The 27,409-nt window shown below is 36.1% G+C and overlaps 1 protein-coding gene and 1 pseudogene across 20 annotated transcripts in view; one reads left to right on the plus strand and one right to left on the minus strand.

Moving 5' to 3' along the window:
* MLF1 (myeloid leukemia factor 1) overlaps positions 1–20,625 on the plus strand; it is a 35,263-nt gene extending 14,638 nt beyond the window's left edge. For 3 of the 20 annotated variants that reach the window (NM_001378847.1, NM_001130157.3, NM_001369784.1), the window contains 7 exons: positions 3,021–3,093; positions 6,603–6,750; positions 11,031–11,114; positions 12,249–12,377; positions 14,183–14,342; positions 16,976–17,108; positions 19,266–20,625. In NM_001378847.1, coding sequence (NP_001365776.1) covers positions 6,631–6,750; positions 11,031–11,114; positions 12,249–12,377; positions 14,183–14,342; positions 16,976–17,108; positions 19,266–19,371 — 732 coding nt within the window. In that variant the 5' untranslated portion in view covers positions 3,021–3,093; positions 6,603–6,630 and the 3' untranslated portion in view covers positions 19,372–20,625. Of the gene's footprint in view, positions 1–3,020; positions 3,094–6,602; positions 6,751–7,550; positions 7,596–11,030; positions 11,115–12,248; positions 12,378–14,182; positions 14,343–16,975; positions 17,109–19,265 lie in introns of all 20 variants that reach the window. The other 17 variants (NM_001369785.1, NM_001195432.4, NM_001369783.1 and 14 more) reach the window with 9 other exon arrangements.
* Positions 23,802–24,368, minus strand: MTAPP1 (methylthioadenosine phosphorylase pseudogene 1; annotated as a pseudogene).

A 27,409-nucleotide genomic window follows, 5' to 3' on the forward strand; every position in this document is an offset into this window, starting at 1 on the left:
AATGAAAAGCTGAAATGTTTTGGAACTCAGATTGAAAAGAGCAATTTAAGCTGGGCGTGGTGGCTCATGCCTGTAATCCCAGCACTTTGGGATGCTGAGGTGGATGGATTGCCTGAGGTCAGGAGTTCGAGACCAGCCAGGCCAACATAGTAAAACCCCATCTCTACTAAAAATACAAAAAAATTTGTATGGCATAGTGGCAGGCACCTGCAATCCCAGCTACTGGGGAGGCTGAGGCAGGAGAATTGCTTGAACCCAGGAGGCGGAGGTTGCAGTGAGCTGAGATTGCGCCATTGCACTCCAGCCTGGGCAGCAAGAGTGAAACTCTGTCTCAAAAAAAAAAAAAAGAAAAGAAAAAGGGCAATTTGGTGGTTGTCGGGATAATTTTTTTTAATCTACACTTGGACCCATGAAAGTGCAATTTTGATACATTAAAAAAATATATATAAAAAAACCATAAAGCATCCAGAGAGTAGATTTCTTAGAAAGAATGAGAACCAGATTGTCATCTGACTTCTGTTCAGCTACACTAGATGTAGGAAGATGATGGAGCAATATTATCAAAATACTGAGAGGAAATAATGGAGATTTATATGCCCAAGCAAGCCATGGTTTAAGTTTGAGTGTGAAATGAATTTAGACGTAAGATACTAAGGGTTTACTGTGTTCAAATTACTAGATGTTAGAATCCAGGAAGGAAATAATAAGATACAAGAAGCAGTGGTAATTCAGAAGTAAACCATCATCAACTTTTCTTGATGGAGAGAGACTGAACTAGAATGCTATCTCTTCCCCTGTTCTTTTAATGGAATTGTTTCTCACCATTTTTCCATTCCTTGGAGCTAGCACAGGACAGATTAAAAACCCCCGACTAGCTCATACCTGAAGTTTTGAACCTGGATGACTTGGAGTATAATGGTTGTGCCTTTAGTAGAAATAGAGACATAAAGAGGAAAAGCTGATTAAGGAAAAAATGTGGAAATAAGGTTTCAAGTTACTAGAATATAAAAAGGCAAATATTTAATCATAGCTTTATCATTATTTGTAATTTATATTTTGAGTACTTTGGAAAGTATGCCAACTTCTTGGCCAATAGGACATTGAAAATTAGCTTTAGACCTTCAAAGTTCAGGGCTCTATCCCCACTACCTGGAACCGTGCCTTTTACATATGTGTTCATTAAATATTTGTTAAATAAATGAGACAGTTTGCATTAAAACAAGAAATTGAATGCAGATTCCTGATAATATTGTTGAATAGACTGAATGCTTGCTAAAATGCAGATTAATGGGCCATGCTTGGGATATACTAAATCAAAATTCTAGGTATATGTCTCAGGAATCTGTAATTTTAATAAGTACCTCTAGTGATTTTTTAAGGATGTTCAAGTTGAAGTAGTCCTTAGAGGACAGGGAAGAGAACAGATAATGGATTAAAATTGGAGAAAGCATGTCTTTAGGGAGCAGTGCTTTTTAACATTTTAATGTCATTCATTTTTAAAAGGTGTTTGCCCATGTACTTGGGGTACGAGAAGGGACAGAGACCAGAGCGTAGGTAACCAGCTCCAGGGCTTAGTCCTCACTGGCTGCCCCAAGGCTGAGAGTATCAACATTTTGAGACACCAGTAACCTATCTGTGACACTCAGAAGCTCTGTAAAGGGCCAGAAGGAAAAGGAACAATTAAGGAGTTTATCAGAGTTCAAAACAATGCATTGCCATCAAAGTTAGAGATACATGCTGCTGATCCCCACTCCCTGGTATTCATGCCTTTATGTAATCTCCCCTTGAACATGGGCTGAGACTTACTAATTTGTTTCTAATAAACAGAATACAAAAGAAGAGATAAGATGTCACTCCCAAAATTACATTTTTAAAAGAGCATGGCTTGGCCTGGTGCGGTGGCCCACGCCCGTAATCCCAGCACTTTGGGAGGCCGAGGCGGGCAGATCACGAGGTCAGGAAATCGAGACCATCCTGGCTAACACAGTGAAACCCCATCTCTACTAAAAATAGAAAAAAATTAGCCGGGCCTGGCGGCGTGCGCCTGTAGTCCCAGCTGCTGGGGAGGCTGAGGCAGGAGAATGGCATGAACCTGGGAGGTAGAGCTTGCAGTGAGCTGAGATCGTGCCACTGCACTCCAGTCTGGGTGACAGAGTAAGACTCCGTCTCAAAAATAAATAAATTAATTAAATTAAAGAGCATGGCTTCTGTCTTAGGTGTTCTCTCACACATGATGGCTTACTTCGGGGAAAGAGCTACCATGATGTAAAGCAGCACTGTGGAGAGGTCCACCTGAATGAGCTTAGAAGCAGATTTTTGAGACTAGCCAATAGCTGTGTGAAGGAACTTGGAAGTGGATTCTCCACCAGTCAAGACTTGAGATGACTAAAGCCTCAACTGATAACTTCATTGCAGCCTACAGAGAGGCCCTGAGTCAGAACTACCCACCTAAACTGCTCCTGATTCCTAATCAACAGAAATTGTGACATAACAAATGTTGTTTTAAGCTGCTAAGTTACAACAGCAATAGATAACTAATACATGTTATGTCAGAATAACACATTGATTGAGACCATCCTGGCTAACACGGTGAAACCCCGTCTCTACTAAGTACAAAAAATTAGCTGGGTGTGGTGGCTGGTGCCTGTAGTCCCAGCTACTCGGGGGGCTGAGGCAGGAGAATGGCGTGAACCCAGGAGGCGGAGCTTGCAGTGAGCCGAGATCGCGCCACTGCACTCCAGCCTGGGCAAGAGAGCGAGACTCCGTCTCAAAAAAAAAAAAAAAAAAAAAAAAGCAGAAAAAAACTGCCCTCATTCTAAGTCATCAGTTTTGTTGCTTTCATCTAAAGACAGGAAAATGAACTACAAATCTACAAAAAGTTTATACGTGTGTTTCTGCATCATAAAAAACAGATATTTATAGATATTCGCAAAATTTTGAGACCACATTCAGGATGGCCTCAATTAAGACATAAGCTTCTATGGCATAAACAAACCTCATTTGAGGATGTTGTTTCTCAGACATACAGGTGGTCTTACTCTGCAGCAGCTGAAACTGAAGCACAAGAAGCCCTTGGAACTATCATCAGGACATGTAAGTCCCATGTACTAAAATACTTGGGCCAGAGAAAACCAAGTATAGTTTAAATAGGAGTTTCCCCTCCCCTAAAATCCAAAGTCACTAAGGAGGAACTTCAAGACTGCAGGCATTGGTTGCAGTGGAGATTTTTCTCTGTGTAGCAAGCACCAAGGTGAGCAGAGCCTTTAATTAAGAATAGTTAGTAATTTTGCCAAGAAATGGTAGGGGGACCATCTGATATATAGGATGGTTCAAATTCCATAAACATTATTTATTTATTTATTTATTTTGAATTTTTGTATTTTTTTTTATTTTATTTTGAGACGGAGTCTCACCCTATTGCCTAGGCTGGAGTGCAATGGCATGATCTTGGCTCATCACAACCTCCACTTCCCGGGTTTAAGTGATTCTCCTGCCTCAGCCTCCAGAGTAGCTGGGATTACAGGCACCTACCACCACACCCAGCTAATTTTTGTACTTTTAGTAGAAACGGGGTTTCACCATGTTGGCCAGGCTCTTCTCAAGCTCTTGACTTCGTGATCCACCCACCTCGGCCTCCCAAAGTGCTGGGATTACAGGCATGAGCCACCGCGCCCAGCCCTCCATAAACATTTATAATGTATACTGTGTGTCAAGCACAGAGGTTGGTAATATGAATGAATAAAGATACAGTTCCTACTCTAGAAGAACTTATACTCTAAAAGAGGAGTGAGACTTTTGTATATTTTAAAATTAAAATTAAAAAACTTGTATTAGTTTCCTATTGCTTCTATAACAAATTACCACATATTTAGAGACTTAAAACAACAAATCATCTTATGGTGGAGATCAGAAGTCCAAAATGGGTTTCCCTGGGCTAAAATCAAGGTGTTGGCAGGGCTACATTCCTTCTGGAGTTTATGGGGGTGAATCTGTTTCCTTGTCTTTTCTAGCGTCTAGATACTGCTGTGTTCCTTGGCTTCTGGCCTCTTCCTCCATTTTTAAAGCCAGCAGTGTAGCATCTTCTGATTATGACACTACTATCTCCTTCTCATAAGGACCCTTGTGATTACATTGGGCCCACTGGGATAATCCAGGATAATCTTCCCATCTCAAAATCCTTATACACATTAGCAAAATGTGGTAAAAACTGAAGACCTAACAAAGATTCATGGTTGTGTGGCTGAATATATTCATGTTAAGAGAATGAAAAAGGCAAGTCCAAGACTGGGAAAAAATTTAAAACCTGTATCTGATAAAAGTCTGTGTCCAGAATATATAAAGAACTCTTATAACCTGATTTTTAAAAATGGGGGAAGTATTTGAAAAGACGGTTCTATCAAAGAACATACATGAATGACAAATAATACAAAATAAAACTACAATGAGATGTTATGACCCTACCACTCAAATGGCTACAGTTAAACATTGACTATCCTATATTTCACCAAGAATGCAGTGCAACTGGAACTCTCAGTTACAGTTTTCATAAAATTTACATACTCTTCTAATACAAGCCATCAGTCCTTGCTCTGAGGTGTTTACTTAAGTCAAATTATGTATACACAAAGACTAGTACATAAATATTCATAGTAGCTTTATTCATAATAGCCAAAAACTAAAAACAGTTTTGTGATTATGATACTGATATATGTATGAACTTAGCAATAAAACTGAATGAACTGAAATAGAGAACAACATGGATGAATCAAAGAAGCATTATGCTAAGGGAAAGAAGCTAGACACAAAAGATGACATACTATGTGATTCCATTATATGAAATCTGGAGAAGACCAAACTATAATGACAGAAAGCCTATTCATGGTAACTAGGGCTAGGAGCAGGTAATTATCTGCAAAGAGACGAGGAAGCTTTTTGGAATGATAGAAATGTTCTACATCTTAATTATGGTGGAGGTTATGACTGCACTTTTTAAAATTCATCAAACTGTACAACAAAATTGGTAAATTTCGTTGAATGTAAATTATGCCTAAACAAGGCTGAATGAAAACATCTGTCTATACATACAAGCACAAATCCAGTTAAGCAGTTTGCTAATCTTAAACTCACACTTGGAACAATTATGCTTTTTTTAACCTCCAAGGTAATGTGTGAATAAATCTGAGCTCTTTTGGAATAGGTTTATGTATACAAATACTATGAAATTCAGAGGAAAAGCTCTTTCTACTTGGACTTATGAGCAGAAGACAGAATTTTTGAGCTTCCTCCTTTGAGCTTCCTCCTTTGAGCTGGAGTTGCAAGGAAAATTTCTTTTTTTTTTTTTTTTTTGAGACAGAGTCTGGCTCTGTCACCCCGTCTGGAGTGCAATGGTGCAATCTTGGCTCACTGCAACTTCTGCCTCCCGGGTTCAAGCAATTCTCCTGCCTCAGCCTCCGGAGTAGCTGGGATTATAGGCGTACGTCACCACACCCGGCTAATTTTTGTATTTTTAGTAGAGATGGGGTTTTACCATGTTGGCCAGGCTGGTCTTGAACTCCCGACCTCAAGCAATCCACCTGACTCAGCCTCCCAAAGTGCGGGGATTACAGGCATGAGGCACCACGCCTGGCCAAGAAAAAATTTTAAAAACTTTCTAGCTTCTTTATGATGACATCAGAGGATTGGAATTAGAAGGGGGAAGGGTGACCTAAGAAGAATAACTGAAGTGGAGAATCTGAAAGGAGGCCAGACTATTGGAGAGGGAGTTCCACTGGGCTGCAGGAAAGCATAAGATTGCCTTGGTAAAGTGAGCTCCAATCATGGTGTACCTTAAGTTCTAGAACGAGGAATAAGGAATTGATTAGTGGGTCAGTAACTGTCCAACTGGAACAAAGTTGGGAAACCACTGTGATAAGGTAAAAAAAAAAAATTTAGGTTCTTTAATGAGACTTGTGATGAAAGGGTAAATATCAGATTATAGTGTTGGTATTTTTATGCAATATGGGATAAATAAAGATGTTTTTTTTATTATGCATTAAATGAATTATATTGGATAACAGTAACAGGTTTTCATTAATTTTATTTATAACTACAGATGCTTCTCAACTTAACGATAAGATTACATTCCAATGAACCCATCGCAAATTGAAAATATTATACATCAAAATGCATTTAATACACTTAACCTACCGAGTATCATCAGAACATACACATTAGTTTACAGTTGGGCAACATCATCTAACATAAAGCCTACTTTATTATAAAGTGTTGAATGTCTCATGTAATTTATTGAATACTATACTGAAAGTGAAAACCAGCATGGCTGTATGGATCATTGAAGTACTGTTTCTCCTGAATGTGGAGTGCTTTCATACCACAGTAAAGTCAAAAAACCTTAACTTAAACCATTGTAAGTAGGGAACCATCTAATAATGGATCTTTATGAGATAATTCTATTCTATTTATGAATAAAATAGAGTTCTCTTCTACTCTTCTTTTATCTAACAAACATATTAGCCCAAAATAATTATTTGTAATATTTACCTGCCTACTTACTATTTAAACTCCAACACTGAATCTTTCATGATTATGTATATTTTCAACAGTGAGTCCATTCTTGCACACCGAGAAAATATGCGACAGATGATAAGAAGTTTTTCTGAACCCTTTGGAAGAGACTTGCTCAGTATCTCTGATGGTAGAGGGAGAGCTCATAATCGTAGAGGACATAATGATGGTGAAGATTCTTTGACTGTAAGTTCTTTTTTTTAAGACAGTTAGTGAGAAGGCCCTGTAGGAATTTGAAGAAAAGTATTACAGAAGTATATATCTATAATGATAGGATATGACTAATATTCTTGTTCTAGAAATCACTATTATATAAAAGGGGGGACCTTTGGAAAGGTGAATCCTGAACAGTGACTTGTCAGCTATATGGAATTTCACTGTGCTACCAAAACTGTTAGGTCCATAGAAGCATATATTAGAAGCAAAACTTAAACCATTATTTTTTATATTTATGTATACATTTCTCACCTTATAACTTCCTCTGATATCTGAAATTAGAACAGGCAAGGAAATATCCTTTCTCTCCCATACTCATTGTTTTAATACTTGAAAATAGTATCAAAAGCTACAAAGGATTGTCTTTATTGGACCAGGAAACACTGATCTTCTATATGGTTACGTATGGACCTTCAAAGCTTAGATTAACCTTTGCTTGTATCTCAAAAGCCTTACAACTGAAATATATTTTCATATGTCTTGCCTTAGAGCAAAGCTAGAGGTTACAAACATACTCAACTAAAAATTAAAAAAAAAACAGGATATTTATATATTGTAACCATTTTCTTTTTTGCCTCTTTTATTTCTTTTGCTTTTTCAGCCTCATGAATGATAGTTCTAAGATAACAAGCCCTCAGGGGTTTCTATAAAGATGAATCTCAGCAATTGAAATGTAGCAATTTGAAATTCAGTAAACATTTAATTGGTAAATTGAGAAACTTCTATATAATAAATGTCATAATCAAATGAATTGGATATTATTTTTCCAGGCAACGAGTTGTTCTCTTGTGCCTTTTGGCGATTTTGGTGGTATGGTTCGTATCTTAAGACACAAATCATTTTAGCAATATTTTCTGACAAATATTTATTTTTCATTAACTCAAGCTGACTGAATTGGCATGCAGCCTCACTTCCATAATGGCTTTTTAATGTTTGTACTGAAAACCTCTGTTTCAAGTATCAGACTTACCTTAGAAAGTTTAGGCACATGTTTCCTGAAGTAAGTCATTTCAACATATATAAAATTCATCTTCAAAAATAAAAAGTAGATTTTATTGAATGAATATTTGCTTGATTTACAAAAGGGATCCTCATAGTTGTGTTTGAAAGTTGGGGACTTCCACATGCTTATGATTACTTTCCAAAAGGTTTTTTAAAAAGTACTAAACTGTAGATAGATAAGCACAACGTTTGGAAAAGCACAGATTAACTGCTTTCTCTAGGATTTTGTTGCCACCTTGCCCAGGCAGCTTTTTCTTGTCTGTTCTTAAGAATGGCCACTCTGCAACCAGCGTTTCTACCACCTGTTTCTTAGGGTTTTTGTGCTGTGTCTGTGATGCTAGCTTCCAACACACTAAAAGCATTCTGGGGAGTAGCAGAAAATAACATGAATTTGGAACATTTGTATCTACAGTCTCATGAAAACGGTTTTTTTTTAATTATTTTGTGCTACAATTGAATCATTTGTTTCCTTGAAGTTTGGCATACAGGTATAACATTTATCCCTCCTGACCAGAGTATTTAGTAAGACAAATAACAAAAAAAAGCAGTTATAACACAGAGTTATGAGTAAAATGATCAGGAAGTTCAGCATGCTATGGGAGCACAGATGGAAAAAAGCACCTTTTGAGGTGGGGTGGGTCAATCCAAGTAGACTTCTTGAACTTTAAGGATTAGTAGAAGTTAGCCAGAAAAGGAGGGAGGGGAAAGGAATACTGTTCAACAGAGAGGAAACAGCATGTGCAAAGACCTGCAGGCTAGGGAGCTAAAACATGTTTAGTATCACTTAGCCCTGGAGTATGAGTTGAACAGTAGATACTGATGAGGAAGAAGAGGTAACCAGAGACTTCTTTAGACCGTAGAAGGAGAGTAAACATCATCTTAAAAGCAGAGGAAGCAGTGATGACTTACGTCAAAGTGGTAATAGAGTCATATTCTTGAAATATTAGAAGAGACCATAGTGGAGGCAGGGAAGCCAGAAGGCTGTTGAAGCATTCTTGGTAAAGTATTAGTGATGGCTTACTTCTACTAGGTAATGTCTGTGGTGATAAAAATGAATTACCTCATTTGAGAGAGAGTTAAAAGGGCGAATGGATGGAACTTGGTGATTGACAGGGTTGAAGGAGCAGTAGAGAGGGAGAAGGGAAGTATCACACCCATTTTTCTGGCATGAAGAATAAGGTAGATGGGAATGCCACTGAGATAAGGCATTGATTCAGTACAGATACAGGAGTGAGGTGGTCAAAACAATCATTTTAGTTTTGGATGTTTGGCATTTGAGGCATCTGTGAGTTTTCCAGGTAGATTTATCTGGTAAACTGTTGGATATATGGATTTGAGCTGAGCTAGAGATAATTTATTCATTCATTCATTCCGCAAATATTTATTAAACCCTCTTAAGTGCCAGGAATTATTATATATGTATTGGGGATATTGTAGTAAATAGACAAAATCGCCCTGCCCTCAGAGATTATTTTTATAAAGTGGGAAGATAGACAATAAACAACAAAATAATTTCAGATAGTCACAGTACCCTGAAGATGAAACAGGGTAATGATACAGAGATGGGGGGAAGTGAAGGAGGGATTAGACAGGTGACCAGCGGTGGCCTTTCTCAGGTGGTGATACTTGAATCATGAGAAGGAACTAACTAGGTTTAAAGTCAGGAGGAAACATTTAAGGAAGAAAGAGGAGAATGTGTACAAAATTTTTGAAGGCCTTAAGGGCCCACTGAAGTCTCAACTACATTTTGTACCCCAACTTTTTGTCACTCCAGTGTGTTGGGTCACCCCAGAGCAAGTGCAGATACATCTTTTGATGGTTGATTTGAACATGAATTGAGAAGAGGGCAGAAATACCCAAATGTCTAATCTTTTCCTCTCTCTCTTTTTATCCTTCTTTGGGTTAACCTTTCCATATCTCATGAAATAAGAACGGATTCTCAATCTAGTGTTAAAGCAAATATTCAGAATATTCCCTGAATTGTGTTTGCCTCTCTGAAATGCAAAATTAATTCTACTTCAGTCCTTTTTTACCCAAATATATATTAGTATTTCCTAAATGTGCCTTTGTTGTTCCCTACAATATTAAGTGCAGGTTCTAAGGAGGAATTTGGTTTTCCCACCTATTTTACATTATTATATCTGTAAAAATCCAATAGCAATAGAACACAGAGACACAAATAGAACTTAGGAGGATTCAGAGCTCCGCTTGGTTGAACAGAGAAGTTCATTAAACCAAGCAACTCATTCTGTTTTATAACAGATGATTTACTGGCTAACACATTGGAATGTGTGCCTGACTTTTATTTTCTGGTGAGTCTTCCAGTGATAAAACCTAAAATCAGTGGTAGATTTTAAAACCTAAAATCAGTGGTAGATTTTCCTAGAGCAAAGTTTCTCAACCTCAGCCCTACTGTCATTTTGGGCAGGGTAATTCTTTTTGTTCTGGGAGACTGTCCTATCCATTGTAGGATGTTAAGCTGCATCCCTGACCTCCACCCACTAGATGCTAGTTATATGCTCTCTTCATCTGTGACAGCCAAAAATGAGTATAGTTATTGCCAGTGTCCACTGAGAGTCAAAATCAATCTTGGTTGAGAAACTACTGTTTAGAGGAATTCTTAACTGTTTTTCTGAAGACACATACCTCATGCTTCAAGGGTATAGCCTACTGACCCTTCAGTAGGCAGCAAATTGAAGGCCTATTAGTAAAGTGAATTGATTTCTGTCACCCAGATCCTACTATGATGAGAGGAAGGCTGGCTACTTACTCGAGGGACAACTTCTGTCAGCCATGTGGTACTGCTGGAGGTGACACTGGCATCTTATACGCAAATTTAGTTATTTGCATGGTGGAGTATTGAGAGATAAGGAAAATTATGAAAACTATCGTATGCTAGAGAATGTATCACTTAGTATTTAACATACACCAAATTATGTTTTGAAAAAGTGAGTAATGAGTGATTAGGTGTGTATGTGTTTTTATATATACATGCACATATATGTATTTATAATGTTACAGTTCCCTAATTATTTGTATGTTGGCTCTTTGGGATTTTGTGTATGCTTCAATTTTCTCCTTAACTAATCACTGTCATTATATCCTCTAAGTTATCTTTGTCTGGTTGATTACTGCATGAGATTTCACTAAATGAATTGGAAAAAAATGTTTTAGCTGTTTTGGAAGATGTATTTGCATCTTTTGTGTTGTTACCTACAGTTAATAACATACTTCCTGATATTCTGTAGCATACAGATGTCAGCTCTTTCCAGACAATGGACCAAATGGTGTCAAATATGAGAAACTATATGCAGAAATTAGAAAGAAACTTCGTAAGTACTAAAAACAAAGCATTGAGAACATTGTGTATACTTTGATATATTCTATTTCATAGTGGCTTTCAAACACTTTTTTAACCATAGTGGTTAAAAAAGATACCTTACATGATTAACCCAATAAGCAATATTTGTATACTTTATAAATATATTTGAAGCAAAAGTTTCATGAAAAAATGACTATACTATTTACAGTATATACAGTTATTTTCTAGTCTATTTCATGTATTAAAAATCCTGGTTACAACCCACTAAATTGAGTTCATAACCTCCAAGTTTGAAAAATAATGTTAACTTTGAAAATTTTTTAAAAATTGGAAAAAAAATAACCTCAAAAACATTGATTCTATTGAAAGTCACTATTGTAAATGAACATTTTATATGAATTTGCATAATTTTATTATTAATAACCTGTCTACTTAAAAGGATTTGTAGCATCTGAAGAGTTTCAGGGTTTTATAAACGACTCTGAAAACAGAAATTTTAGGAATAATGTTTAGGTATAGTTCCCTAATAGTCCAAATAAACTAGTACTATAATAATACTCTCTATATTAACATCAAAACCAGTCACTTGATTTGATCTGAAGAAGACCCATAACATTCTAGTCATCCAGTTTGAATTCTATGGATCATTTCAGAATGCCCAAATAATCTAGGGCATTATTGGTTTTAGTAATGTAGCAATCTGGTACCTACAGGAGGAGGTACGAAACTTGATGTATAACTAATTGATTGGCTTAATGTTGGCAAGATTACACACAAGGGTCAACCACTGACTATAGAAGTATCACAGGTTTGGGGGCATAGCATCTTTATTGAAATCTAAGCCACGAGCACCCAAAGACTTAAGGATCTCTGAGTGAGTCACTTATTAGTCTTTGTAACGAGAGTGGGATAATTGTACCTAAAATGGACGACCGTTAGGACCCTCTAGGGGTGACTTTTTTTGGGCGGAGGTAATTTTTCAAGTCACTTCTCACTTGAGAACCTGGGTGTGCCTTTGACTACACCATATTGGTAGTTTAGTATCCTTAGTAGAACTTACAGCTAGTGTTGTTACTTATTTGAACTCTCTGGCAATAATTATTTATATTTGACTCGACTGAATTTACAATTTGTTTACCTGTAGGGTCAACTTTCAGTGGATCCAAATGGACATTCATTTTGTTCTTCCTCAGTTATGACTTATTCCAAAATAGGAGATGAACCGCCAAAGGTTTTTCAGGCCTCAACTCAAACTCGTCGAGCTCCAGGAGGAGTAAGTTTTCTATAAGCATTCCTAAAGTTTTATAAAGTTAGGGGATGATAGACTGTCTAGATCAAATTTTAACTATTAAAATTTAATCTGGTACAAGATGGTGGGGGGACAGGAGGGAGGTGTGGGGGTTGGGGGTAAGGTAGTCCTCACTGTGGAAACCATTAAAGCTCAACTGTATTTACTTAGTTTGTGGCATTTTTTTTGTAGCCCCCCCACCCCCCCGTGAGGGTGCCTTTTTTCATGTAAATATCTATGGATGTTTATTACCTTTACATGTTGACAAGGTAAACAAAACACGAAAAGAAGCCTTTGTTTCATGAAATTAATGTCTATTTTTAAGTTTACATTTGAAGTGAATTAATTTTTTAACTCATGAAATATTTCAAGTGTACAGAAAGGATATAGAGAATAACATAATAAGTGCCCATATTCCTGCCACCCAGTTTAGTCATATCATAACATTTTTCTCTATTTGCTTCAAGTTGTCTCTTGCTTTGTTTTCTTTTTAAGCGAAAATGTACAGAGGCAGTTAAACCTTCTAATACATTCCTCTGAGGTCTATTTTCCCTTTCTCCCCTTCTCAGAGATTACCATTTTCCTGTATCTGGAGTTTATCATTTTCACGCATGTTTTTACAATTTTATTACTTCACGTTTCTGTCATTAAAAAAATGGATTATTTTCCAGATTTCCCAACATTACATAAAGGGTATCATATTGCATATGTCCTCTGCAACTTGTCTTTGCTGAGTAATATGCTTCTGAGATTTATTCAGCTTGATACATGTGGCCCTGGTTTCTTTAACTTCTATGTAGTATCCAAAATATGAATATATTATGATTAATACGCTTCTGAGATTTATTCAAGTTGATACATGTGGCCCTGGTTTCTTTAACTTCTATGTAATATCCAAAATATGAATGTACCATGATTTTTAAATCATTTTCTGTCAATAGATATGTAGGTGAGTCTAATCTTTCACTAATTCATCTTTATACATGGCTCCTTATACAGAGTCTAGGAGTGGTATTGCTGAGTTGTAGGGTATGTGTACTTTCCTCTTTACCTAGCGTTTCCAAGCTACTATCCCAGTGATTGAAATTGTTGGCTTCCAAAACTGTGGCTTGTGAGTTTCCATTTCTCTACTTCCTTGTTAGTACTTATAGTAAAAATTTAGGTTTACCAATCTAATGAATGTGAAGTAGTACATTTTTTAGTTCTTACATATAAAGATGAACCTTTTAATGATGCTTTTGCCATAGTTCTGCTAATTAATCTCAGACATTTTAATTTTAACTTTCTAAAAGTGACAAACTTAAATGTAAACAGAATATAATTGTAGATGTCCCACAGTAAATCATGTTAGTTGCTATCAGAAATATTCTTATAATACTTCCATAGAGTTGATAGTCGGGAATCATGAGATTCAAGCCAATCAATATGACTGATGAATAATTAGTTGCCCTTATTTGTAGGAATCCCACCATAAACTTCCTTCTATTACATTATCTAAGACAGTCTTGAAGGCATTAAACTATAATTGCTACTTTTGTTTTAATATTTGATTACAATTTGGAAAAAGGTTAAATTGTATGGGTTCTGTTTGTTGTAGACATTTTCATTTTAAGGAGTTCAGGAAATATCAGAGACTTATTACCACAGTTTTACCACAAGTTAATAGTGGAACTGAGCACACATTATTTTTAGAGCAATAGATCTATGGCCATATCTCTGTAGGTAAGCTGGCCCTGAGATATACATTCTATATATATTTAAATAATAATAAAATTTCTTTATTTTTACAGATAAAGGAAACCAGGAAAGCAATGAGAGATTCTGACAGTGGACTAGAAAAAATGGCTATTGGTCATCATATCCATGACCGAGCTCATGTCATTAAAAAGTCAAAGAACAAGAAGACTGGAGATGAAGAGGTCAACCAGGAGTTCATCAATATGAATGAAAGTAAGTTATCACAAAAAAATAATATTCTTTCTTATAAATTTAAAATAACAGCCGTACTTGATGAATTTTTTTTTAGAAACATGTCATAAGATGTAGTTTTTGAATAATGCATGTAGAGAATACCTTGTGAAAGTAATAGGATTGTGTTTTCATCCTTTCATAGGAGAGCTCTTTTTTATAGTGATTTTTGGCAATATGGGATATTACTTATTTTTATTTTATCCTTGGAAAGTGGAATCTTTTGAATTGTTATTTAGTAATATCATTAGGCAAAATGTGTCTTTAAATATTTTTTCTGATTATCAAGAAAGTACATTTGAAAAGTATAAAGACAAAAATAATCCATAATCCAAACTCAAAATACTAGTAATATTTTAATGTATTTCTTCCTAATCATTTTATATATATAAACACTTTTTTCTCAAATTATTATTCTACTTTTATATAGTTTATATTGTGCTTATTTTAATTTACCATTATAATTGTAAAGTTACTTATGATGCTATTTTTCAAAAGCATTTTAAGTGGTTACCTTAAAGTTTTATTGTAAATAAGCCATAATTTTTACTTAAATCATTCTGTACTGTTCAGTAGTACTTAGGCTTTTGTATAGACAAGATTTTAATTTCTGTTATATGTTAGATTACATGTATGTCTCTCTCTCTCAAGTAAATCTTTTCTTTTTCTGGATTTTGTATTTATTCTTCAATGCATTTACATCCTTCTAGTGTCCTAACTCTTCTCCCTGTAGTTTTTAATTATATTACAATTTATTAACAAATTTAATCATTAAATTTAAATTATTTTTATTAATTTTTAAATCAATATTAAGCTTTTATATTTAATTGTATTAATTCAATAATGAAATTATATTAAAATTTAGTTGGATTCATCTCCTAGTTTCAGAAAGTATTTTGAATAATGTTTTTCCATAATAGAGTGTTTAAATTTTAAATTGTTGTATTAAAAAAGAAATTCTGGCCGGGCACGGTGGCTCATGCCTGTAATCCCAGCACTTTGAGAGGCCGAGGCAGGTAGATCATGGGGTCATAAGTTCGAGACCAGCCTGGCCAACATGGTGAAACCCCATCTCTACTAAAAATACAAAAATCAGGGCCCGGCACAGTGACTCACGCCTGTAATCCTGGCACTTTGGGAGGCCAAGGCGGGCAGATCACGAGGTCAGGAGTTCAAGACCAGCCTGACCAACATGGTGAAACCCCGTCTCTACTAAAAATACAAAAATTAGCCGGGCATGGTGGTGCACGTGCCTGTAATCCCAGCTACTCGTGGGGCTGAAGCAGGAGAATCGCTTGAACCCAGGAGGCGGAGGTTGCAGTGAGCCAAGATCGAGCCCTTGCACTCCAGCCTGGGCGACAGAGCGAGACTCTGTCTCAAAAAAATAAATAAATAAAATAAATAAAAATACAAAAATCAGCTGGGCATGGTGGCCCGCGCCTGTAATCCCAGCTACTTGGGAGGCTGAGACAGGAGAATCTCTTGAACCCGGAAGGCAGAGGTTGCAGTGAGCCAAGATCACGCATTGCACTCCAGCCTGGGCAAAAGAGCAAGACTGTGTTGGGTGGAGGGGAGGAAGAAATTCTATTAACATTGGGGTTTGATAAAATTATTCTTTTTTTTTTTTTTTTTTTTGAGACGGAGTCTCGCTCTGTTGTCCAGGCTGGAGTGCAGTGGTGCAGTGGTGTGATCTCGGCTCACTGCAAGCTCCGCCTCCCAGGTTCACGCCATTCTCCTGCCACAGCCTCCTGAGTAGCTGGGACTACAGGTGCCCGCCACCATGCCTGGCTAATTTTTTCTATTTTTAGTAGAGACGTGGTTTCACCATGTTAGCCAGGATGGTCTTGATCTCCTGACCTTGTGATCCGCCCACCTCAGCCTCCCAAAGTGCCGGGATTACAGGCGTGAGCCACCACACCTGGCTGGGGTTTGATAAAATTATTCTTATGCAGTAAGATAGAAGCCATGATATTGTGACCTGTGTTTATTTGTAACCTCTGTAATTTTATCACATTTATATATATACTGAGTATTTCACAATAATCAACATTTTGATGAAAAATTGAGTGAAGGAACATAATATTTTAAAGCAGTCTTAAGAAGTACTATCATGTCTCTATTGTTGCTATTATGGAAGTTAGATTACTTCATAACAACATGAATTGACATTCTAGCTGAGTAACCTGTCTTAGGAAATTGACAACAGAAACTTGTGAGGTCAAGTTACACAGAAAGATGGTTAGGTGAATAGAAGTGCTAGCCACAGAAGTATACACTATACAGGAAGAGTATATTCACTGTGAGATGACCCAGGAAGAAAAACTGTTAGTTAATATAATTAGGTCAGCTGGTCCATTGGGTAGAATAATATGTTATCCAGGCAGTTGAAAAAATAGATCATCAATAACTAGATCATCAGTAGGAATAGGAGAGGAACAGACAGGAAAACAAATACTACTTTTGTCAAAGACCCTTATATTTGAAGCAGCTTCCTGCCTCTGTATTGAGGTTACACTAATGAAAACACCAGACTAGACTGAAATATGTGGGAGCAAGGCAGTTACTGACAGTTGATACCTTAATACTTATTCCCATTATTTTTCTGTTTGACATAGGTGATGCTCATGCTTTTGATGAGGAGTGGCAAAGTGAGGTTTTGAAGTACAAACCAGGACGACACAATCTAGGAAACACTAGAATGAGAAGTGTTGGCCATGAGAATCCTGGCTCCCGAGAACTTAAAAGAAGGTAAAAGTTGTTTCTAAAATAGTTTGGTTTTTTAAGAAGAATTTGAAGTAAAGTTATGTAATTTACTTCTGTTATCAGAAAGTTTTGATGATCATCCAAATTGTATCCACAGTATCTTTTGTGAAAGATGTAATAATTTTATATGAAAGCTGATTATTCCACACAAATTTAAATTTATATCTAAAAATCAATAATAGTTTAGGATTTTATGGTTAGTAATTCACTAGTAAACTATGCCTCAGAAGACAGAGACCAAAATCCTCTTAAGGAAAACTGATATCCTGTAGTGTAGTTATTCTTGTAAAACACATTGTAATATGGATATAGATAGAGTCATACATTTCACACTGGTAAAGATATCTAGAGATATGATAAGGGGAGAGGGGCTCTATTTGGAAGACTTAACAACTTTCTTAACAAATCAAAATTTAGCATTTAATAGTAAATTTCAGACACTTGTATAATATGTAACAGTACATGCAATACCATATTCGATGTGTATTAGATATTTTGGAAGAATTTTGCAAGAACATTAGCTTCTTTTAGAATTCCCTTTTAGAATAGCTGAGAAAAATAAATTTGCTGAAACCACATATTAAAGATTATAGAGATTTCTGTCTGGACATGGTGGCTCATACCTGTAATCCCAGCACTTCCGGAGGCCGAGGCAGGTGGATCAGTTGCGGTCAGGAGTTCGATACCAGCCTGGCCAACATGGTGAAACCCCGTCTCTACTAAAAATACAAAAATTAGCTAGGTGTGGTAGCACACACCCTGTAATCCCAGCTACTTGGGAGGCTAAGGCAGGAGAATTGCTTGAACCTGGGAGGCAGAGGTTGTGGTGAGCCAAAATCACACCACTGCACTACAGCCTGAGTGACAGAGCAAGACTCCATCTCAAAAATAAATAAATAAATATTATAGAGTTTTTAAATACATTTTGTACATACTCTGGAGCTACAGTTTAATGTGGTTCTCAGAGGAATAAATGGATAATAATATCTAATTCCTATGAAGTTACACTCAAAGGCCTCACCAGACCTTAAATAGAAATCTGTTCTAAGCTATAAGAAAGTGGAAAATTGCTACAGAAGGTGGAAGCCTTCACAGAACTAGCAGTGGACAAGTGAGTATCAAGTAAATCAGAAGCCTTATGCAGAATTTCATATGCTAGGATCTTTTCTTCTAAAATACTTGTTTAGGAATTTAGAGCCCTAGTATTTTCTATTGAATTGCTTGAAAACTTGCTCCCATATTCATTATAGATATTTGTCTCATTTGAAAAATGTATTGATTAAAAACCTGGCAGTGCCAAGTTTGAATAGGAAATCCAGGTCGCACTTAGAGAAGGCATGCTCTTTATGGATGACCTATAAATTTCTGGCCCTAACAGTGGCATTTTCTCTTAACCGGCACTGTCCAATGGCATTTTCTGAAATGACTTCGGTAATGACAAAAATGCTATATATCTATTCTGTCCAGTGTAGTAATCACTAGCCACATGTGGCTGTTGATTCACATTTGAAGCATTGCTGGTACAACTGAAGAACTGAATTATTTTATTTTAATTCAAATATAAATGTGGTTAGTGACTACCATACTGTTAACATTAAACAGTGTTTAAACTATAAACAGTTAAATCTAACAGGAAAACAGCTGTTGCTGTCTTAAATTCACTGAAATAGTCTGCCTTATTTTCTGGTTTTTTTTGTTTTTTATTTTTTGTTTTAGGGCAGGGGGTACAGAGTCTGGCTCTGTCGCCAGGCTGGAGTGCAGTGGCGCGATCTCAACTCACTGCAACCTCCACCTCCCAGGTTCAGGCAATCCTCCTGCTTCAGCCTCCTGAGTAGCTGGGACTACAGGCGCGCATCACCACGCCCAGCTAATCTTTGTATTTTTAGTAGAGATGGGGTTTCATCATGTTGGCCAGGATGGTCTCGATCTCTTAACTTGTGATCTGCCTGCCTCAGCCTCCCAAAGTGCCGGGATTACAGGCATGAGCCACCGCACCTGGCCAGCCTTGTTTTTCAAAGCCATTAAGGAATTTTTAAGATAAAACTTTTCTTATATTACAGTGGTTTTTAACATGTTTGTATTGATTTATAAACCATTGGCCATTTTTTAAATGATATTAATATTCACATGTATATTTCTCAGGGAGAAACCTCAACAAAGTCCAGCCATTGAACATGGAAGGAGATCAAATGTTTTGGGGGACAAACTCCACATCAAAGGCTCATCTGTGAAAAGCAACAAAAAATAAATAGCCATGCATTTGATTTGTTTAGTTTTGATTGTTTTAACAGTTAGTAATGGTGCTGGGTAATAAGCATAAGACCAATCTCTTGCTGTTAAATCAGTTCTGTCCTTGGCAACTTTCTTCTGATATCTGAATGTTCATGAAGGTCCTAGCTTTATATTGTCCCTCTTTTAGGAATAAAATTTTGATTTTCAACAATGTGAGTAAATTGAGTCTATTTAATGTAAAACTCTTTAAAACATACTAATTTTTTAAAGCTTATATGCTTATTTCGCTTCCCCAGTTGTTTTTGTGTTGGCTAAATATTCTTTTATATTTATCAAGATTGATTGCAGAGCAGTTCTATCACTTATAATTAGTTATAAGAAATTATAATGTTAAAAAAGTCTCAGTTTTTACTAACACTGTACTAGGGTGATATTAATAAAGGTTTAAATAATTTATCTCTAATTTTATAATGTGTTGTAAAGCCAACTAGCTTAAAACTTTAAAAATAATAAAGCAAAACTACACTAGTACTCTTTTATGAGAAAATAGTTACTATTTTGATAAAGGGCAAGGATAATCAAATAGTTCATTTTCAGAGAAAAATATTTTAAATTGCTAATGTACATGATTGTTTTGGTTATAATTTATTTATAGAATGTATCTTTTCTATATTACATTCTTAATATTCACCAGATATTATATTGACCATTCTCTTTAACTTCTTAATGTGGCATATTTCTACTCTCCTTTCCCACAAACAGCTTCATCTGTCTCCAAGGTTAACATTCTGAAGCTGGAGAGTCCTTGGAGAAACTCTGCTCAGCTTTTTTGTGACATTTAGAAAAATGCATTTGGTATTCTCCAAACCAGAATGATACATTGTCTCAAAATCTGTTAGACAGCTGATGGGTGTTTTTGAGCAACGTCTTAATAATTCAGTTGTTTCTGTTTTAATTATACCATTAAAAATCAGCTTTAGCTTTTTAATTCTAGAATTTAAGCATCAGTCTGTTCTTATAAAAGTTAGGTTTGAAGTTTATAAGAATATAAAATCTTAACTCACATTTGTTGTTTAATATTTCTGTCAAGGAAAAAAGCCCCCAAAAATTGCTATCACTCTATAATCCTAAGTATTTTTCTTTTCAATTTTGTAAGTAAAATTATATGACTATGTTCATACTTCTCTAATTTTTTATATAATATTTTTGTTAATTTTACTAGTTTGTGTTTTATGCCTTTAGTCATTAAAATAAAATGCAAATGTGTTAATTCATTGTTGAAATTGAGCATGTATTAGTTAAAAATTTCCTTTTAGGCATACTTTAGTATACTCCTAACATACCATAACACATTGGGAAATTGTCATAAGGCACACATTTTAAATAACATCTTGATATAAATTAACCTGATAGAGCAAAGTCTTAATAAAGTACATACTTGATTTTCCTTTTGCCTAAATCATTACACTGATGATAACTTGAATCATTGTAGTCAAATCTAAAAACACCCTTTAATAAATAATTGTGTTTAACAGTATAATTCCTGTACATCAGATTGCAGTTAGAGATTGTGGTGAGGCAGAATTTGAGATGGTAGTACCGAGAAAAGTTCTGTTTCTTTCTTAAAAGTCAACTCTATCTTTGCACCATAAAAACATAACTATCGATATCTATACCCCAGAATAATATTTGTTTGCAACAACTTCTTATGATGGGTGTTTAATACTGTTAGTCTGTAAATTGAAACTATTTAAAACTATATACATGCCGGGCGCAGTGGCTCATGCCTGTAATCCCAGCACTTTGGGAGGCTGCGGCAAGTGGATTGCTTGAGGTCACTTCAAGACCAGCCTGACCAACATGGCAAAACCCTGTCTCTACTAAATATACAAAAATTCAGCGGGTGTGGTGGCGGGCACCTATAATCCCAGCTACTCAGGAGGCTGAGGCAGGAGAATTGCTGGAACCTGGGAGGCGGAGGTTGCAGTGAGCCGAGGTCGCATCTCTGCACTCCAGCCTGGGCAACAGAGCAGGAGTCCATCTCAAAAAAAAAAAAAAAAAAAAAAAAACCTATATACACATACTAGGTAGGATGGTTTATTTTTAAGATTAATATTTTATTTCCACTCCTTTTATGAGCCAATGAATTATTTTATGTGAGTTCATGAGGTTTTTTAATAAAATAAATAGAAATTAAAAGCTTGTTTTTCATCTGTATATTCATTATTGTTAATTTCATGAGAATGACATTTGTTTTTATTCTTGGAAGTCTTCAACAGGAAGAACTATATTTTTTCTTTTCACTGTGCTCTGTTACAGGGTGTTTTAAAGTGATGTACCTTGCAGTGAGCGGAGATCGCGCCATTGCACTCCAGCCCATCTCAAAAAAAAAAAACAGAGTCTGAAAAGTCAATGTGTGTAGATCTATGAAATTACTTTCCACGTAATTTGCTAATTGTAAAAAAAAAAATTCCAGACTTATAAAACATTAATGGCTAATCTTTTGGGAAATGTTAATCCTAGAATTAAAATAAGGAACAATAGATATAAATTGGAAGAAGATAATCAGAATTAAAATTTTCTAAGGTCCTTGTATTCTTAAGGTTCAAAGTAAAAATAAATGATTAACTGATGACTGTTAAGAATGCTTGTCAAAATAAGGTAGCCACTAAAAGAATAGACAATAGAGTGTATACCTTTGAAGGAGATAAAATGAATTCAATCTCAAGGCAAGAAATGAGGAAAAGGTAAATACAAAACATAAAAAATTGATGAGAAATAAATGCAAATATGTATATAATTAGTGACAAAAAGATTAAAAAGCAAACATTGTCAGTTCAAATTTTTAAAAAATCTAGCACTATACTGTTTCCAAAAGTCATATTCAAAAGACATTAAAAGGTTGACAGATGATGGAAAAGATACAATGGCAAATATTAGCCATAAGAAAGTTAGTATATCTATATTATAATAAAACATTTAAGGCAAAAAGTGACTACTAGATTATAAAGGGGGACCCTGCTAAAAAAAGATTTGATTGATCAGGAAGATACATCAATTCTAAGCCAATTATACCTAATAACGTAGCATTAAAATATATGAAGCGATATTTGAGAGAAGAGACTTCTGGTTCTAAACAAATGGAGCATACATATTTTTTCTTATTCTTCCCACTAAGTACAGCTAAAAACTCTGGAAATAATTCTTAAACATTAGAGAAGAGAAAAAGACTAGCTAGGGACTTTGGTACTTGAAGAATGTTATGGTGTGAAAGGAGTGGAAATAAAATATTAATCTGAAAAATATACAACATGTTACATTGTGTATATAGTCTTAAAATGGTTTATAGACTATCATAAACTGATACATACAAATATGATTGTGGGATATAGACATTAATAATCCTTTTTCTATGGTGCATAGAGTTAATTTTTAAGAAAAAAACGACTTTTCATAATACTCCAGCCTCAAATTTTGCCTCACCAGAATCAGTGTGTTTTCAAGAACTGGAACTTTCTCAGGTTGTTTTCATTTTTTAAAATGATCGACTTTACTATTTGATTACATTTATTATGGAAAATGTAAATATGCAGAAGAATGCTAAAATAGAAAGTACCCATTATCCCATCATCCCCCAAACAACAAAAGATAATGTGTATTCATTTCTAGTCCTTTTATGTGGATATATAGAATTTTAAAAACAAAATACTGTAAAATTATATCCTGATTTTTCACATTTTGGAGTAACCATTTCTTGAGGACAATATTCTTTGAAAACATGATCTTCAGTTTCATTGTTTACATCAGAGTCTAATTATAGCTGTACCATACTTTACCTCCAAATATTTGGTATTTCAGATTGTTTTAAATTTTTGCTATTGTAAATTTGTATGAATATAATTTTTATACATAACTGTATTGCTGATAATTTGTTTAAGATAAATTATGGGAACAGAGTTACCAATTCAAAGAGTATAGCTATTTTTAAATTTTTGATACATTTTACTAAATTACAGAAAGATTGTACTTATTTATAGTCATACCAATGAATGTCCCGGAAATGTCCATTTTTTTCATATCCCTTGCCCAAAGAGAATGGTGGAGGTTACCTCTCAAACTTTTATTATTACAAATTTTAATAGAGGTAAAATATTACCTCCTTATCTTAATTTTGCACTTTTTCTCTGATAATTAATGAAGTATGATCTTTTTCCATATGTTTACAGCTGATTTGCTTTGCTTTTCTGTATATTTTAAGCAGCGTAGGTCTTGTAGGAGCTTCCAATGTAAGCCATTACTTGTCATATCATTAGTTCTTCCTAAATGAGCAAGACATGAAACTACATGTATTTATCACATTATTTCAAGTTAAGTATCCCAATGTGACTGAAATTATAATCTTTTCTCCTGGGCAGCCATGTTATTTTAATGTCTTGTAATCTAACAAAATTGGCTCTTATTCTTCACGTAATAAAGAGGTTTTGAATATTCCATGAACCCTATATGTGATATGATAAGTGAAGAGTAAGTTTAAGATCTTATTTGCATTTTCTGTCAGGGTCTTCAAAACTCTATTAACTGCATATTCATGCTCCTTGTAGCAATCACTGTCTGTAGCCATGGCAATGCTGGTATAGTAAATTCCAGCTTATTACCTCTAGAATTCCACCTCTGGAATTGTAGTCGTATAATATCCACCCCTTCAGTATAGAACAAGAATATTTCTGCTCAGGAGCTAAAACAGAGGCCTACATTTGTGTCCGTTGTCCCCTTTGAGTGACATCACAGTCCTAGCTTCTTGGCAGTTGCAGAGAACCTCTTTAGTTTGGGGGCAGCTTGGTTTAGGCTTTGGAATATGGCACAGGAATGACTCCTGTCATAGAAGATCTGAGAACTTGTGATTGTCCTGTCAATGAAGTGATCAATAATGATATCACCAGGCTGAAATTTCTTCTTTTACATATGTATAGGAATCTCCTCCTTCAAAGCCCAGATGTTTGCTTGGGTGGTGACCAAGAGACTACACCTGGCTGGCCAACTACAGGGGATTTAGTTGATAGAGGGGTTGGCTGGCTGTGGTCTGATCCATCTGTGCATTTTCTCTGAGAATGGTCTTCCCATGGGCCGCTCCCAGTCAGTGACTAAGTCCTGCAGGGATAGGTCTGTTCCTGAGAGTTGTTGGACTCTGACATCTGACTTTGGCTCAAGAACTCCCCAGTGGCCTTGCCAAAATTTCTGGAGAGTGAAAGGCAGTATAGGATGCTTTCACCAACTCTTCCTTCCCTCTCTCTTTCACTCGGGATCAAACTTGTATGACTGACTGGTGGCCCTCTCAACCTTACCTAGCTACCTCCATTTTCTCTCTCAGGTGTTTCTCCTAATAAAATCTTTGATCATTTAATCCTTTCTTGGCATCTGCTTCTCAGAGAAACCAGACTAATGCAAGTTAGTAGTTGACTTCGAAAAACAAAATGGTTTTCTGCCTCGCATACTTTGCAAGAAGAATGTAATCAACATTTTATATTTTCTCTAAAATTAAGGCACTGGATAGCTTGCCATATGGATGGCCACATATTTTTCAGTTCTTTCTCTAACGTTTCTGGATCATCCAGGCCCATTCTACCAATTATTTTAATCCAGGGTCATGGTAAGTAACATCTAAGTTACATACAAGAGACAGGAGAGGGTCTTTACCATGCATATGGAGGCTGACACTGGGAGAAGGCTGTGGTCAGAGCACAGGGAAAAATGTGCAAAAAAGTAGACAGCAGTTCAAAATGCAGTGTGGAGGTGAGAAAGGCAGAGTCTAAAGGAGCAAGCTTCTTATGCCCTGGAATAGTTGGATTGTTTTATTGTATTCAAATTCATTTTTTAATTTTGACAGTGTGATGTTTTGATACATGTCATGTATACACCGTGTAATGATCAAGACAGGATAATTAGTATACTTATCCCTCAGATACTTATTGATTCTTTGTGGTGAGAACATTCAAAATCCTCTCTTCTAGTTATTTTGAAATATACAATCCATTATTTGTTAACTGTAGTCATCATACTGTGCAATAATTAGAACTTCTAACTGTAACTTTGTACATTAACCAACCTCTCCCCATTTTCCCATCTTCCCTACTGTCCCTAGCTTCTGGTGACCCACTATTCTACTCTTTTTTTTTTTCTTTTTTGAGATGGAGTCTCACACTGTCTCCGTCAGGAGTGCAGTGGCGCGATCCTGGCTCACTGCAACCTCTGCCTCCAGGGTTCAAGTGATTCTCCTGCCTCAGCCTCTCGAGTAGCTGGGATTACAGGTGCCCGCCATCACGCCCAGCTAATTTTGTATTTTTAGCAGAGACGGGGTTTCACCATGTTAGCCAGGCTGGTCTCAAACTCCTGACCTCAGGTATCTGCCTGCCTTGGCCTCTCAAAGTGTTGGGATTACAGGGGTGGGCACCGTGCCCCACCTACTATTCTACTCTTTATGAGATCAACTTTTTTAGATTCCATATATGAATGAGATCATGTAGTATCAAATTCATCATTTTAAATATTCTTCTGTATCATCAATTTTTAAAATATTTTCCCACAATACTTTTGCTCACCATCCACTTTTTGTACCCCAGACCGTCCATCTGAGATCTTTTTTTTTTCCTTCCTGAACTATATTTGTTTTTTGTTTTCTTGAGAGTCCCAGCCTCTGGAGTAGCTGGGACTACAGGGAAGTGCCACCATGCCTGGCTAATTTTTTAGGCATTTTTGTAGAGGCAAGGTCTCACTATGTTGCCCAAGCTGGTTTCGAACTCCTGGACTCAAGCAGTACTCCTACCTCAGCCTCCCATAGTGCTGGGACTACAGGCGTGAGCCACTGTGTCTGGCCTGAACTATATTCTTTGGAAGTTCATTGAGAAAGGGTATATACCTAAAGGATTATAAAACATGCTGCTATAAAGACATATGCACACGTATGTTTATCGCGGCACTATTCACAATAGCAAAGACTTGGAACCAACCCAAATGTCCAACAACGATAGACTGGATTAAGAAAATGTGGCACATATACAGCATGGAATACTATGCAGCCATAAAAAATGATGAGTTCATGTCCTTTGTAGGGACATGAATGAAGCTGGAAACTATCATTCTCAGCAAACTATCGCAAGGACAAAAAACCAAACACAGCATGTTCTTACTCATAGGTGGGAATTGAACAATGAGAACACATGGACACAGGAAGGGGAACATCACACACCGGGGCCTGTTGTGGGGTGGGGGGAGGGGGAGAGGGATAGCATTAGGAGATATACCTAATGTTAAACGACGAGTTAATGGGTGCAGCACACCAACATGGCACATGTATACATATGTAACAAACCTGCATATTGTGCACACGTACCCTAAAACTTAAAGTATAATAAAAAAAAAGACTATTTTCACAGTTAAATTGAACCAGGTTTGAAGTGGAGATTATCTGAAATTGTTGTTATTTAACCCACTAATTGAGCAAAACTGTTGGTAATGGAATTGTAATTTTACAATTGTTTTCTCCCAAATAATACTAAATAGAGTACTTCCTTGGTGTTTAGATTTCACTGTTGCTCATGAAAAAATATGCAACCAGTATGATGGTGTTCCTCCTTAGAGGATTTATCTTTTTATTTCTGGCAGCTTTGCTGATACTTTTTTTTTTTTTTTTTTTGAGATAGAGTCTCGCAATGGTGCAATCTTGGCTCACCACAACCTCTGCCTCCTGGGTTGAAGCAACTCTCCTGCCTCAGCCTCCCGAGTAACTGGGATTACAGACATGTGCCACCACGCCTGGCTAATTTTGTTTTTTAGGAGAGATGGGGTTTCTCCATGTTGGTCAGGCTGGTCTCAAACTCCAGACCTCAGGTGATCTGCCCACCTGGGCCTCCGAAAGTGCTGGGATTACAGGCATGAGCCACCATGCCCAGCCGCTTTGCTGATTTTTTAACTTGTCTTTGATACTCTTCACTTTTTTTAAAATTGGGATATATTTAGGTGTGGATTTATTTATCATACTTAGGAGTCATTAAGGTTAC

The sequence above is a fragment of the Homo sapiens genome, chromosome 3 (genome assembly GCF_000001405.40).
Source record: "Homo sapiens chromosome 3, GRCh38.p14 Primary Assembly".
NCBI classification, from domain to species: Eukaryota; Metazoa; Chordata; class Mammalia; order Primates; family Hominidae; genus Homo; species Homo sapiens.